The sequence below is a fragment of the Homo sapiens genome, chromosome 18, assembly GCF_000001405.40.
Source record: "Homo sapiens chromosome 18, GRCh38.p14 Primary Assembly".
Classification (NCBI taxonomy): Eukaryota; Metazoa; Chordata; class Mammalia; order Primates; family Hominidae; genus Homo; species Homo sapiens.
Genome location: NC_000018.10, coordinates 58,669,961 through 58,683,123, shown reverse-complemented (window position 1 = coordinate 58,683,123; position 13,163 = coordinate 58,669,961). Strand labels below are relative to the sequence as shown.

At 42.6% G+C, this 13,163-nt stretch overlaps 1 protein-coding gene and 2 long non-coding RNA genes across 7 annotated transcripts in view, besides 2 other annotated features; 2 read left to right on the top strand and 1 right to left on the bottom strand.

The window, feature by feature from the left end:
• LOC105372146 (uncharacterized) overlaps nucleotides 1-10,511 on the top strand; it is a 107,606-nt gene extending 97,095 nt beyond the window's left edge. Inside the window, exons 3-4 of one of the 2 annotated variants that reach the window (XR_935537.3) lie at nucleotides 2,548-2,652; nucleotides 10,265-10,511. This is a non-coding gene — a long non-coding RNA (uncharacterized LOC105372146). Of the gene's footprint in view, nucleotides 1-2,547; nucleotides 2,653-5,477; nucleotides 5,515-10,264 lie in introns of those variants that run through there. The other variant, XR_935536.4, reaches the window with a different exon arrangement.
• Nucleotides 1-11,659, bottom strand: part of MALT1 (MALT1 paracaspase) — an 83,013-nt gene extending 71,354 nt beyond the window's left edge. For all 4 annotated transcript variants that reach the window (XR_007066087.1, NM_006785.4, NM_173844.3 and 1 more), the window contains exons 1-2: nucleotides 11,272-11,659; nucleotides 1,788-1,954 (exon numbers count right to left, since the gene is read on the bottom strand). Coding sequence is in view for 3 of the 4 variants with exons in the window: in NM_006785.4 (NP_006776.1) it covers nucleotides 1,788-1,954; nucleotides 11,272-11,480 (376 nt within the window). In the remaining variant the exon portion in view is untranslated. The remainder of the gene's footprint in view (nucleotides 1-1,787; nucleotides 1,955-11,271) is intronic.
• Nucleotides 11,131-11,920: a silencer, noted in NCBI's record as "silent region_9487". NCBI's record gives its function as "represses an Ori minimal core promoter by ATAC-STARR-seq in GM12878 lymphoblastoid cells {active_cell/tissue: GM12878}" and the evidence as "EXISTENCE:reporter gene assay evidence [ECO:0000049][PMID:35858748]".
• On the top strand, nucleotides 11,251-13,115 carry MALT1-AS1 (MALT1 antisense RNA 1). The gene is made up of 2 exons (NR_164150.1): nucleotides 11,251-11,655; nucleotides 12,316-13,115. It is a non-coding gene; the product is annotated as an MALT1 antisense RNA 1 (long non-coding RNA).
• Nucleotides 12,081-12,340: an enhancer, noted in NCBI's record as "active region_13400". NCBI's record gives its function as "activates an Ori minimal core promoter by ATAC-STARR-seq in GM12878 lymphoblastoid cells {active_cell/tissue: GM12878}" and the evidence as "EXISTENCE:reporter gene assay evidence [ECO:0000049][PMID:35858748]".

The following is a 13,163-nucleotide window of genomic DNA, read 5'->3' as shown; positions in this document are numbered from 1 at the left end:
TCTTGGGTGCTACTTCAAGCACCAGCAATATAAAAATTAATAAATACCACTTTAGGAACTCTACTGTTTCTATCAGTAATGGGCCAGGTTTAAAAAAGAAAGTTTACTGTTTGGTGCCAAACAACAGTTGCATTTGGGAGGGTGGCATTAGCAGCTAGTTATTCCCACCCCAGCCCTGTTGGTAGGAAGAGGCGCTGGGAAATAGAAAGCAAGCATCCAATACAGTGTGTATCAAATTCATAGGGCATTTATCAGAGGCCTATTTTACCATCTACAGAGGGCCTTGTAAAGCAGGGGATGATTGGGAGTCCAAGTCTCCTTATTTATAATCCAGGGCCCTTTCCATTTGTAGTAAACTTTTTGGTTACCTCCCCAGTATCTGCTACTTCCTTTTTCCTTCTAATAGTTTCAATTTTGTTTGGTGATCCATGTGGTTCCAGGAAAGCAGACTCAACCCAACTCCACTCCTGGCTTCAAGCCAGGCGAGTCAGCACATTCCATCTCCTTGGCACAGTGACAGGTTAAGAGCTAGGCATTTGACCGAAGCTAGTTAACTAGATGAACCCTCTGGGTTTTGCTGGGGCAAGAATGAAGGAGCCCAGAAAAAGCCAGCAGACGTCTTGCGCTATGTGGAGAGTCAGTCATGGAAGGAAGCCAATGCCAAGAAAGGAAGAGCAAAGACAAAAACCAACCAATGCGTTGAGAACAGGATTGTTCCTTGATTCTCTTGAAGCCAAACCTGCTCTAAGCTTTTCAATTAGAAGGAGAAATGTATTCTCTTTATTATGCCTATTTGGGTTGGGGTTTCTGGTACATGTAACTGACAGCATACCACTATACCATGTGTTCCTAATTCCCTATCCCACAACTAACAATAAAAAATAACATCTCATTTATGGTTTTAAGTTCCTCATGTTAACTTAAAAATATATCATAACCAAGCTGGTTATATATTGAAATGGTATACATCAAAACCACGTAAAATAGAGTGCATCAGGTCCTTTGTCTTTCCAAGCTCAACCTGCCTTTCCAAGCTCAACCAGCCTCTTTGCTTCCTGTGGGACAAATAATGGCCCACTGGATCCCCAGGTAAAGAAGGAGGTCTGCAGTGCTGCCACAACCAGGCAACTTCAATGGCATGTCCCTCCTGCCCTCCACCACTGCTGTAGACCAACTCTATCTGCAGCTGAGAGGAGAGCAGCTGAATGGAGAAGAGGGACTGTTTCCTAAGCCTCGCCTGATGTGGGAAGTACAAAGCCTCATCCAATATCGGTAATTCAGGAAAAACTCATAAGAGTACAAGGTTGAGTTAATCAACATTCAAAAGCCTCACTGCGGCAAAAAAAAACTTAAACATTTGTCATACTTGCTTTACTTCATCTATATAAATACATAGGAATAAATATATGTTCATTTTTTTGGCTGCACTATTCCAATGTATGTCATAGGAATCTTCTCCCTAAATACTTTAAAATGCATCTCCTTTTAAAAAAAGGACATTCTCCTATAGTATCATTATCATATGATAATTACTTAATATATCAAATATGTAGTTACATTCAAATTTTTCCAACTATCTCAAAAATGTCTCATGTAGCTGGTTTCTTCAACCACAATCCAACCAATATTCATGCATTGCATTTGCTTCAACCTGGGAAAGCAAACAAGGCACTACACATTTACATTTTCCAAAAATACTTAACACAGTTCACCTGGTCAAAAGAGATAATTTCTTCTAAGTTTGGCTCCATGAACTCCTGGAGAATAATCCTAAGAACAAAACCTACCTGGGGGGCTGAGAAGCTGAAGAACTTCAGTGTGTTCCATAGCCTGCAGGAAATCACTCAATTCTGTGACTGTGCAACCTTTTTCACCCATTAACTTCAGCAGACACAGGCTGGGGCTTCCTTCAGGCTCCAGTACCTTAAGAGAACACTGCTCCAGGTCTAGGCAACTGAAAGCAACAGAAAGAATTCAAGTCAACAGCTTTCTTCCACATGATACACCTGCTATATATCTGGACCACGGTGGTGCTGTATGGAATAAATCACAAGTGAGTGGGTGGGTGGTGACAAACTATTCACATAATGAATGCGAGTATCCTTTCCTCCTCTTTCATCACGGGGAATTCCTCTTTATTCCCTTCTCCCACTCAGCTCCCATGATTATTTTTTTTTTTTTTTTTTTTTTTTTTGAGACGGAGTCTCGCTCTGTCGCCCAGGCCGGACTGCGGACTGCAGTGGCGCAATCTCGGCTCACTGCAAGCTCCGCTTCCCGGGTTCACGCCATTCTCCTGCCTCAGCCTCCCGAGTAGCTGGGACTACAGGCGCCCGCCACCGCGCCCGGCTAATTTTTTGTATTTTTAGTAGAGACGGGGTTTCACCTTGTTAGCCAGGATGGTCTCGATCTCCTGACCTCATGATCCACCTGCCTCGGCCTCCCCAAGTGTCCCATGATTATTAAATCAGGAGAATGAGAAACCCAGAAACAGGATGTGAGAGAAATTGAGCCTTGATACTGACAAAGGTTTTTTTGCCTTTAATTTAGGAATGGGGAATAGGAAGGCCAGAAAAATTTCCTTACTCCTTCTTCAAAGATGATGAAATACAAAATGACCCCAAATGAAGCGGATAGAACAATCAGTGTTACAAGGTTAGCAATTGAAAAATACTAAAAATATCCTTAATTACTAGTTTAAATAAATTATGGCATGTATATCAAATGAAATACTGTTAATTCATTAAAAAAACTGAGCCTGAGGTAAAGGCATAGGTCTTTAAGACATACTGAGAAATGAAGGAATTAACATAAAAAACTGTGTATAATACACTACTATTTGTATTAACAAGGTAGTATGTCTATGTGTGTATTCATATGAAAAAAGGAAGATACAGAACAGCGTTTGTTATTACCAAGATCATTTGTGTGTGTTCTTATACATGGAGAGTAAACTCTGAAAAGGTATCTAAGAAACTCGTAGCCATAGTTGCCTCACAGAGGGTAAGACAGTAGAGCTCATGGCTGGATGATCTACTTTTCACTATAACCCCTTTTGTACTGTTGATTTTTTTATGTGCATTTATTTTTTGATAATTTTTTTTTAATAGAGATGCTGTCTTGCTATGTTGCCCAGGCTGGTTTCAAACTCCTGGGCTCAAGCAATAATCCTGCCTCTGCCTCCCAAAGAGCTGGAGCCACCACTCCTGGCTCTTTTGATAATTTTTAAAAAGTATATTTAGAAAGAGAACCAGTACTATTGACATTCAAAGTACTTAGGCTGGGCACGGTGGCTCACACCCGTAATCCCAGCACTGTGGGAGGCCAAGGCACGCGGATCTCATCAAGCCAGGAGTTTGAGACCAGCCTGGCCAACATGGTGAAGCCCCATCTCTACTAAAAATACAAAAGTTAGCCGGTGTGTGGTGGTGCACGCCTGTAGTCCCAGCTACTCAGGAGGCACAAGAATCGCTTGAACCCAGGAGGCGGAGATTGCAGTGAGCTGAGATCATGCCACTGCACTCCAGCTTGGGCGACAGATCGAGACTCGGTCTTAAAAAAAAGAAAGAAAAAAACCAAAGTACTTCTAAGTACCTAGAAATATCCTATTGCAGGGACCATGGCCTGTGGGCCAAATGTGTTCAGCTACCTGATTTCTGTAAATAAAGTTTCACTGGAGCACAGCTACACTCATTCATTCACATATTCACAAATGTCTATGGCAGCTCTCCTGATACAACTGCAGAGCTGAATACCTGGCTGCAAAGCCAAAAATATTTACCATTGGGCCCTCTATGGAAATAGTTTGCTAACCCTTCCTTTAAAGAATGTCTTATTGTCCTTTTATTAAAACTATTCTTTTAAAAATACCAGTATTTAACATACATATACAATTTCCTTTTCCATGTTATTGTGTGCAGTAGTGGTATACCAGATTAGAAAGACAGGTTAAGATCAGATCATAGAAGGCCATGAAGAATGGAACAATGATATGAATTGTAATCATTTTATAGAAGGGGAAAGTACAAGTATTAAACATTCAAGGGGAGACAAAAGAATCAAGAAAAAACCGAGCAATCAACGACAGAAAAACTTTCCCAAAGAAACATAACCAACAACAGCCAACCAAAGTGTTTAGATAATCTGCATGATATACTGTAGAATTCACACCTCATCCATCTTTGCAGATCCTGCTCCTTTTCCTGCCAATTTGAATTACAGTCCCATATTAACTCTAGCTTCTCTACAAGGTCCTCCTAGACCACACCAGTCCACCAAACACACTTTATAGACACAGTCTCCTAACTGCACTTATTTTATAGACAACTGTTTTTCTAAGTGGCCAGCAAGGATATATTTTAGATATTCTGGGCCATAGAGTCTCTATCACACATTCTTCTTTGTTGTTTTTTGTTTTACAATTCGTAAAATACAAAAACCAGTCTTAGATCATGGGCTATATGAAACGGGTAGCAGCCTGGATTTGGGCCTTAAGCAGTCATGTGCAGACTTGTTTCATGTTTTATCTCACATAATTTCACCTTAGAACGGTGAGCTTTTCTTCATGAGCATGAAGAAAAGCTGCCTTATCCAACTAGATTATAGTAAACTCCTTGAAAACAGAAACCCCATCATATTAAACATATATGTGTGTGTATACACACACACACGCAGACATAAAATCCCTCAATACCTAAAATTCTGTCTTGTCCATATTAATTATGCATTAATGAATGATTACTGAATGAATTTCAATCATAATTGTCAAGGCTGAAAGCCTGAACAGATGCAAGAGGTGAAACATAATAGTGCCAGGGTGTGACAGAATCAAGGTTAGCAAACTATTTTATTGCTTGAAATATTAATCCTCATTCATTTTGAGTAGTCTTATGAAGATGCTGTCATAGCATTTATACTGTTACCCAAGATTTAAAATTCAGTGATAATGTTGATTATTTCATATGGAAAAAATGTATACGATCAAATTAATTTCATTAGTAATATTATCTACCTCATAGGGTTGTTAGAATTAAATAGCTAATCCATGTAAGAAGTGCTTAACACAGTGCTTGGCAAGTAACAGACATTCAATAAAGGTTAGCTCTTATTATGCAATAAGAATATGGGGATATTAAAAGAATATTAAAGCTAACTTCTTAACTATGCTTATTTCTGAAACAATTTTAGCTTTTCCTTAAACATTTTTTTGAGTAACTATTATTTTGGTAACCTGAAAATGTCCTCTAAGGCCTCCTGTGATCACTATATTTACTAGGTATTCTTTTCTAAGCATCCTAGTTCAATTTTATTATATTCAATATGCCATTCTTGTTAAATGTGAATCATCATATCACAAGTCAACCAGTCTCAAATTCTGGACTGTAGACCAGTGGCAGCACAATCTGCAGTCCAAGGTAAAATGATAAAAATAAGGACAATAAAGCTGTCTTTTATTCTAAAATTGTCTTTTCCATTTTTAGGTGTTAAAGTGTTCTTTCTTTTAAGAAACAATGGTGACTATGATGACAGAAAACATAAAAAGGTGAAGCTGCCTGTTAGTGCTCTTATTTTGTGAAATTTTATTTTACTAGTTTCTGAAATACCCAAGTGAAAGAACCTGTATTAGAAACAATACAAGGATTACTAATTTTGTAAATAATTAGAATGAGATTTGTAAAAATAGGGATGCTGTATGCTAAATATAATTTTTATGATTCAGAAGTTTACCAGGATCTGATAAATGAAATTAAGAAGCCATCTCATCAAATGCAACCAAGTGATGCTTTAATTAATGTCTATATTGATATAGAGAAAATTAAAAACACTTGGCTTTCCTTCCCCCCCAAAAGAACAAAGATCAAATTGAAGTACAGATGATTTCTCTTCCATTACAAGAGGCACAGGAGAAAAAGAAGACTCTGTATCTCTTTTTGTTTTTACTGATTTTCCGTATGGGCACTGGCTTTCAGCTAAGATGATGCTTATACATACCTAACTTTTCTTTCTTTCCTTTTTAAGTTACATTCCTGTAAGAGTGTGCTTTGAAGTAGTTTCTGAAAGTCCTAATTTAGAATTTTTGATTTAATTTAAAAACTGCTTTATGACTGAAACAAATGTACTTTACTTTTTAAAAATATCTCTATTTTTATCTTTAAAAAAATATATAATCAAATAGAATGTATTATACACCCTTTAGGGGACAAACCATAATGCTGTTTTTAGGTTCTTCTGCTTCTCCTCTTGGTACATTTACTATTTGGAATCTTTATTCATTAATTTGATCTATTTCTCCATCACCTAAAATAGGCCACTGTTTTTTCTAGGTGTTGAGGATACAGCAGCAAACAAAACAAAATTCTGTATCTTCCTGGATCTTTCATTCTAGAGAAGTACAGACATAAATTTAAATAAACACAGAGATATCTTTTTGTGTATGTATCCAACTAACCAATGGTCTTAAGTGTTGTGGAGGTAACGCAAGTAGACAGGTAACACTGAGCAGATGTAGAGGGTAATTTTAAATATTATGATCAGAGAAGAGCTCAGTGAGGTGAACAAGTCATGTGGTTACCTGTGGAGACCATCTCAGCCTGAGTAGGCAGCAAGTACAAAGACTACTGTGTCCAAAGGAAGGCAAGAAAGCACATGTGACCAGAGTAGAGAGGGATGGAGACAAGAAGATATCAGGTTGAAGAGTGAACTGGTAGCTAATGGTGTTTTTACTCTGAGATGGAAAAACAATAGGAGAGTTGGCATTTTTTTTTAATGGGGTCTATCTATGTTGCTCAGGCTGGTTTTGAAGTCCTAGGCATAAGTAATCCTCCCACCCTGGCCTCCCAAAGTGCTGGGATTACAGGTGTGAGGCTACCACGCCTGGCCACAATAGGAGAGTTTTGAGCAGAGGAGGAATAAGACCTGATGTGATGTTTTAAAAGAATAATTCTTACTGCTATATTGGTAACAGACTGGGGTGGGAGCAAAGCAAAACAGGGAGAAGTTAAGTGGCTACTGGAATAATCTAGTTGAGAGACAACGTGGCTTGGCCCAGCGTGCCAGCAGTGGACATTGGATTCTACATATATATAGTGAAGGTACAGCAGGAAGGATGGGCTGACAAAAACGATTTGTGTGTAAAAGTGGAGTCAGGAATGAATTCGAAGTTTTTGGACTGAACAACCAGAGGGTGCAGAAACTGAAAGAAAGAGGTTTATAAGGGAAGACGTGTTAAATTTTGGACATGTTATATTTAAGACGTGTCTTAGTCATTCAAGAGAAGATGGCAAACAAGTGTTTACATACGTGAATCTAGGAGTTCAAAGCAGAGAAATGGGCTGGAAATAGAAATTAGGAGTAATCAACCCAAATAAATGTAAAGTCATGGGACTGAAGGATAAGACCAAGAGGGCGAGAAGGAAACCTTTTTTAGTTTATTTGTTTTAGAGACAAGGTCTTCTCTGTCGACCATGCTGGAGGTTGACAATACCTAAATCAATAAAATTCTGTCTTGTCCATATTAATTATTCATAAATGAATGATTACTGAATGAATTTCAATAATAATTGTTGAGGCTCACTGCAGCCTCGAACTCCTGGGCTCAAGCAATCCCACCTCAGCCTGCAGAGTAGCTGGGACTACAGGCCTGTGCCACTATGCCTGGCTAATTTTTTGTTTTTTTGTAGAAACAGGGTCTCAGTATGTTTCCCAGGCTGGGAGGAAACCTTCTGTTAGAGCCTTTTACACGTTCTCATTCCTATAATAAACTGCATGAAAGCAGGATTTCTGCAGCTAAAAGTGCACCTTCTACTCAGCAGGTATGCAATGACTGTTTTTCCATGGTCCAGGTTCCACAGCCCCATTTCTAAGCTCCCTACTTAACAGAATTTTAGGCAGCATTTAGAACCTCCTGGAAGGTCTGCCATCCTTAGGGCTCAGATGTTCCATGCCACCAAAGAATTTACATAGCTTGGGCAAGACCCTCAGAGTCTGTGTCTATCTACACTAACAGCAAAGGGTGTCCAGGTCAGTCTTGAATGGAATCAGGGCCGGGTCTGACTATAGCACATTCCCAAATGTACATGGTTGTGGGGAACTAAGCTATCAACAAGGATTTACTCTGAGTCATCAGCAATGAAAACATTTACAATTATTTCTAATCTCTTGTAGACAGTTTGAACGGGCTCTTTTCTTGTGGTTTACTTATTTGTATTATTAAATTTTCACCCAGTTTGAGGAAAGATGTAAAGTGTCAGAAAAAAAAGTGAAGAGAAGAAAAAGAAACAGAATGGGCAACATTTCGAGATTCTAGGGCTGCAGATCCAGTGACTGAAGAAAGCACTTCACAGCCTCGTGGGACTTGTCACCCACACGGACTAGACACTCACACTATAATTCCTGTCTTTGGCACCAGAGAAAAAATACCTTTAGGACCTTCTAGTATCACAGATCTTCTCCCAACAGCATGAAATCACTTTACAATAACTTTTTTGTCTTAAATAGAGTAAGCATCCCCAGCTGACCTTGCTTCACTGTCCAGCCCCCAAGCTCCCAGTGCTGTTTTTTGAAAAAAAGTCCGTTTAATTCTTCTGATCTCCATAGGGATGAGCTTAACGTTCCCAAATTCTCCAACCCTTCTCACCCCAGCCAACCTCCTCAAAACTAATCTTTACCATCTTGAAAGACAGGTGAAACTCATCTGCCTCTCATCAGACTTCCCACCCCAAATTCTCAGATTCCACAACTGCATGCCCTTTGTGCTTGCCACCTCTTGTTAGGCAACTGTCCCCTTCTCTCTGTGTGACTCCACAGAAAAGTGGCCTCAAATATTTCCTTTAGTTCCCCCAAACAAAGCTAAGACCATTTTGTAGCCTTTAACAAAAACTGACTGAAGGCAGGCGAGGAAAACACAACACCCAACATCAAGTATCCGCTGCTTTTGGATTCCAGCAGCCACGCTTCTTCCCTGGCAGGGCCTTGCTGACTTTCTTCTCTCTCCTTCATGGCCATGTAGGAGTCCTCCATACCTGGCTTTCTTCAGGAAGCCCAGAACCTTCCCTAACCAGAGTACTCGTTAGCACCGTAATACTCTGGAGATCTGCCCCCAAAGACAATTTTTTACATTATGGTAAGTCCAGAAATTCAAAATTTTATGTACCTAGCATAACAATATTTTGTATTTGTTTTTTTTGCATATCCAAAAGCCCAACGTGTTTTTCCTAGAACAGAAAAAAATTATGCCACTTCTCTGCTAGGCCTTGCTAGTTATTCCCTCCTCACATCATTACTCCTTTGCACAAGCAATAATCCCAAGTCACTATTATCCTTTGCCTCAATCCCAAACTCTGAAACAAGAGTTGTCAGGAGGGTTTAAGAAAATAATGTGGCCAGGCAGGGTAGCTCATGCCTGTAATCCCAGTACTTTGGAAGACTGAGGCGGCTGGATCACCTTAGGTCAAGACCAGCCTGGCTAACACAGCAAAACCCCGTCTTTACTAAAAATACAAAAAAATTAGCGGGCTGTAGTGGCGCACGCCTGTAATCCCAGCTACTCAGGAGGCTGAGGCAGGAGAATTGCTTGAACCTGGGAGGCGGAGGTTGTAGTGAGCCACGATCACACCACTGCACTCCAGCCTGGGCGAAAGAGCAAGACTCCATCTCGGAAAAAAAAAAGATAATGCAAAAATAAGAAGAATAAAGAAGAATGAAGCAGCAGCAGCAGCATGTAAACATTTAGTATATTTTGTGGTACATACCATGTCCTCAATAAAAGATAAAAATCCATTATCATTCATACCCAACACAGCATTTAATATGTTATTGTAAAGGTCCCCAAATAATAGTCCATTCCTGGATAAACCCTTATGATTAGGAATTGAATATTTGTTAGTTTTTTATCTTCTAAAATTTCTAGCAAATAATAAGCACTTAATAAATACCATTTTGAATGAATGACTTTCCTCTCATCAAGTATTTACTAACCTCTATACATAACAGAATATTAAGAGACAGTTTTTGTTCTTAAGGCATTTATAAAGATGTGTACAAATAATTATACTGTAAGACAAATCTTTGTCATTTGAGAAGTTCAAAAAACTGCTAAGGGGTTCAAAGGCAGGCCAAAGTTACAACAATGGTATAAAGTAATGGTTCTAAGTGGGGTCTGGGAACCCCTAGTGCAGTTCCTGAGACCCTTTCGCGGGGTCCACAAGGTCATAAAGATTTTTCATAACAATATTAAGACTTTATTTAGCTTTTTCATTCATTCTTTCAGGAGTGGACACTGCAGTTTCCAGCGTTCTGTGACCTGTAATAGTGCGACAGACTGAATGCAGAAGCACATAAACGAATCCAGCTCTGTGATTAAGCCAAGACATTAAAGAGATCTTCAAAATGAAAACCAATGCCACTTCTCTAATAGACTTTTTTGTTTTGGAAAATTTGTTTTTCCACGAAAGTATTATTTCTGTTACCATATAATGGGTTATTCTTTTTAAATAAATTAATATTTTTTAAATGTCTTAGCTTTAATTTCAAAGGTGGTAAATATCAGTATGTATTACATGTATGTATTATCTCTAACCCACATAAGAGCTCTCTGGGGTCCTCAATAATTCTTAAGAGGGTAAAGGAGTCTCGAGACCAAAACTTCAGGAACCCTAATACAGCCATTCCAAACCTAACAAGGAAAATAGTTTTACTTCGAGTTTCATGTTCATGGTGAAGTCAAGAAGAGAACGTGGTAACCTGGTTTGATGGAGGGAGATGATGAGTTCGGCGTCAGTCTTTCCCAATACCTTGCAAAATGTTCATGAATTCCTGCACCCCACCCTCTGCATTCATCACCTCGCCTGCGCTTCTTCCCAGCCTTCCTTAGGTCTCCCAGAGCAGTGTCCACATCCCTTTCTTTTGCATTTTAAGTCCTCTGGATGACTGCCCCATCCTAGGGGTCCCCTGACAGCTTTCCTTCTCTCACTATCCTCCGGGGTCAACCTCGACTTCTCCCTTTCACCAGGGGCGGGGGTGGGAACAGGGAGCGAGGCAGCCGCTGGGCCACTTTTGCCTCCACCCTCCAGAGCCCTGGGCCCCGCTCTCAAACCCCAGGCGTTCCGGGGAGCTGCTGAGTTCCGCTCCGCCTCAATGACCGAAGTCCTCCCCACCTCCGCTCACTCACGCCGGCGGCCCCCGCCGCGCTCAGCCCCACCGACAGCGCCCCCACCTCCCCACCGCAGCCCACCCCGCTCGACCCGCGCGCCCGGCCTGCCGCGGCCCTGAGCTCACCTGAGGCGGAGGCGCCCGCGACTCCCCGCCAGCTCCGCCAGTCTCCTCCAGCCCCGGCCCTCGGGCGCCTGATCCAGGAGCTCGCTGAGCCTCCGCAGCAGCGGCTCCCGCAGGCGGTTGAGGGTCGCGCCGGCCGGAGGGGCGAGCAGCGGCCCCGTGGGGGCGGCCGAGGGCGGCAGGGCCTGTAGCGGGTCCCCCAACAGCGACATGGCCCTCGCCGGCGACCCCGGACTGCCGGGGCTCCCGCCCGCCCCGTCACGGGCCTCGGCCCCGGGGCACCTTCCGCTCGCCTCCGAGCCGCGGAGGCAGGGGCGGAAGAACAAATCTGGCAGCGCGGCACGGCCCTCAGAGGAGGAAGCTCCGCTCCCCGCCCCAATTAGACAGGTTTGCCGAGGGGAGCCTGGCCTGCTGGCCGCGCCAGCCGCGCAAAGGGGCGGGGCACCCGGGGGGCGGGGCACGGAGCCTCGAGGGGCGGGACCTTGGGCCTCGAGGGGCGGGGCGGGGCTGCCTACTGCGTGCGTGCGGCTGCGCGCCTCCCTCGCCCTCCCCCGCGGTCCCGGGCTGGCCGTGGCGCGCGCTTCAAACCCAGCCCTCCCGAGCAGGAAAGGACGGGTGGGTGCAGCTGGAGGAGGAAGCGGTGGAGGAATTACGCCCCGGCAGCTCCTCTACGGCGGGGAAGCCTGCGGCGTCTGGGCTTCCTGAGACCGTGGGAGGAGGCCTGCGTACTCACGCCAGAGAGCGGGGCAAGCGGTTCTCAGTCGCCGGCTCCCGCCCGCAGTCCCCGGCGAGCGCTCTCCCCTGACTCAGGGACTTTCATGTGCCCGGCGACACACCAGCATCCTGCAGTGGGCAACCTCAGCGGACGCTTCCTCGTTTTAGGGTTAGATGTGTATGGCATTGCTAGAGGGAAGTAGTGCTGGAGATCCGGATACTTGAGTTGGAATTGGCCAAAATCTTTGCCTAGACTTTTAAACAATTACTACTTTGCAAACTGAGCTGTGGCATATTTAGGGCTAATCAGATCTTGGAAATGATTGTTTTTAGCAGGAATCATCTGGTTTACACCGCGTCAGACTGCCGCCCGCAATCTCCGTCATCAAAGCAGGCAACCCTGTAGAGGATGCCTTTCCCTGGAATGATCCGGAATGGACGACACCTGAGCTCTCTCTGCCAATCTTAGCAACATCCAAGGCCATTATCCCTTTGAAAACTATGGCTTCGTTTGGGACAAAAAGGAAGTAACTTACGAAATGTGACCAGTCAGGTAGTTCCCTACACGAGGCTTCCTGGCCCAATTTCTGTTGCCATTAGCTTTTCATCACCCAAGGCCGCAGGATTTTCTGACCAGTAATTTGGATACCTATATTCTTATACATGTTGGCGAGGTAGGTGCGCCATACAGTCTCCACCACATTCTAGCACAAGCAGTCATTAAACTTCACTCTAGCATAAGTTAAGAATTCAGACTGCAGTGAGATGGCTAAGAGCATGAAAGATCTGCTCGATTCAAGTGTTAGGAGCTTGAATAAGTTTCTTAATTTCTCTGCCTCATCTATTAACACAGGACTGACAATACAGTTTATATAGAGTTGTTGCCAGAATTAAAGGAGTTGATGTATGTGAAGCACTTAACTCGGTAACTGGCACATCGTAGATGACTCAGTAAATGCTATTACCCTTACACATACAAGTGCCGTTTCATACTCAGTTTGACTTGGCAAGCCTTTCCCAACCGCTTCAGGTGCCTTCCTGTTTTGTCCTCAATTACTGTACAAATATTTTCTGAGGATCTGTTACCTGCATGTGCCAATTATGGAAATAAAATCTTCTAGTCTTTACTGGAATCCTGCCTTTTAATTTAAATTCAACAGAGGTCTTCTAAATTTAGACTT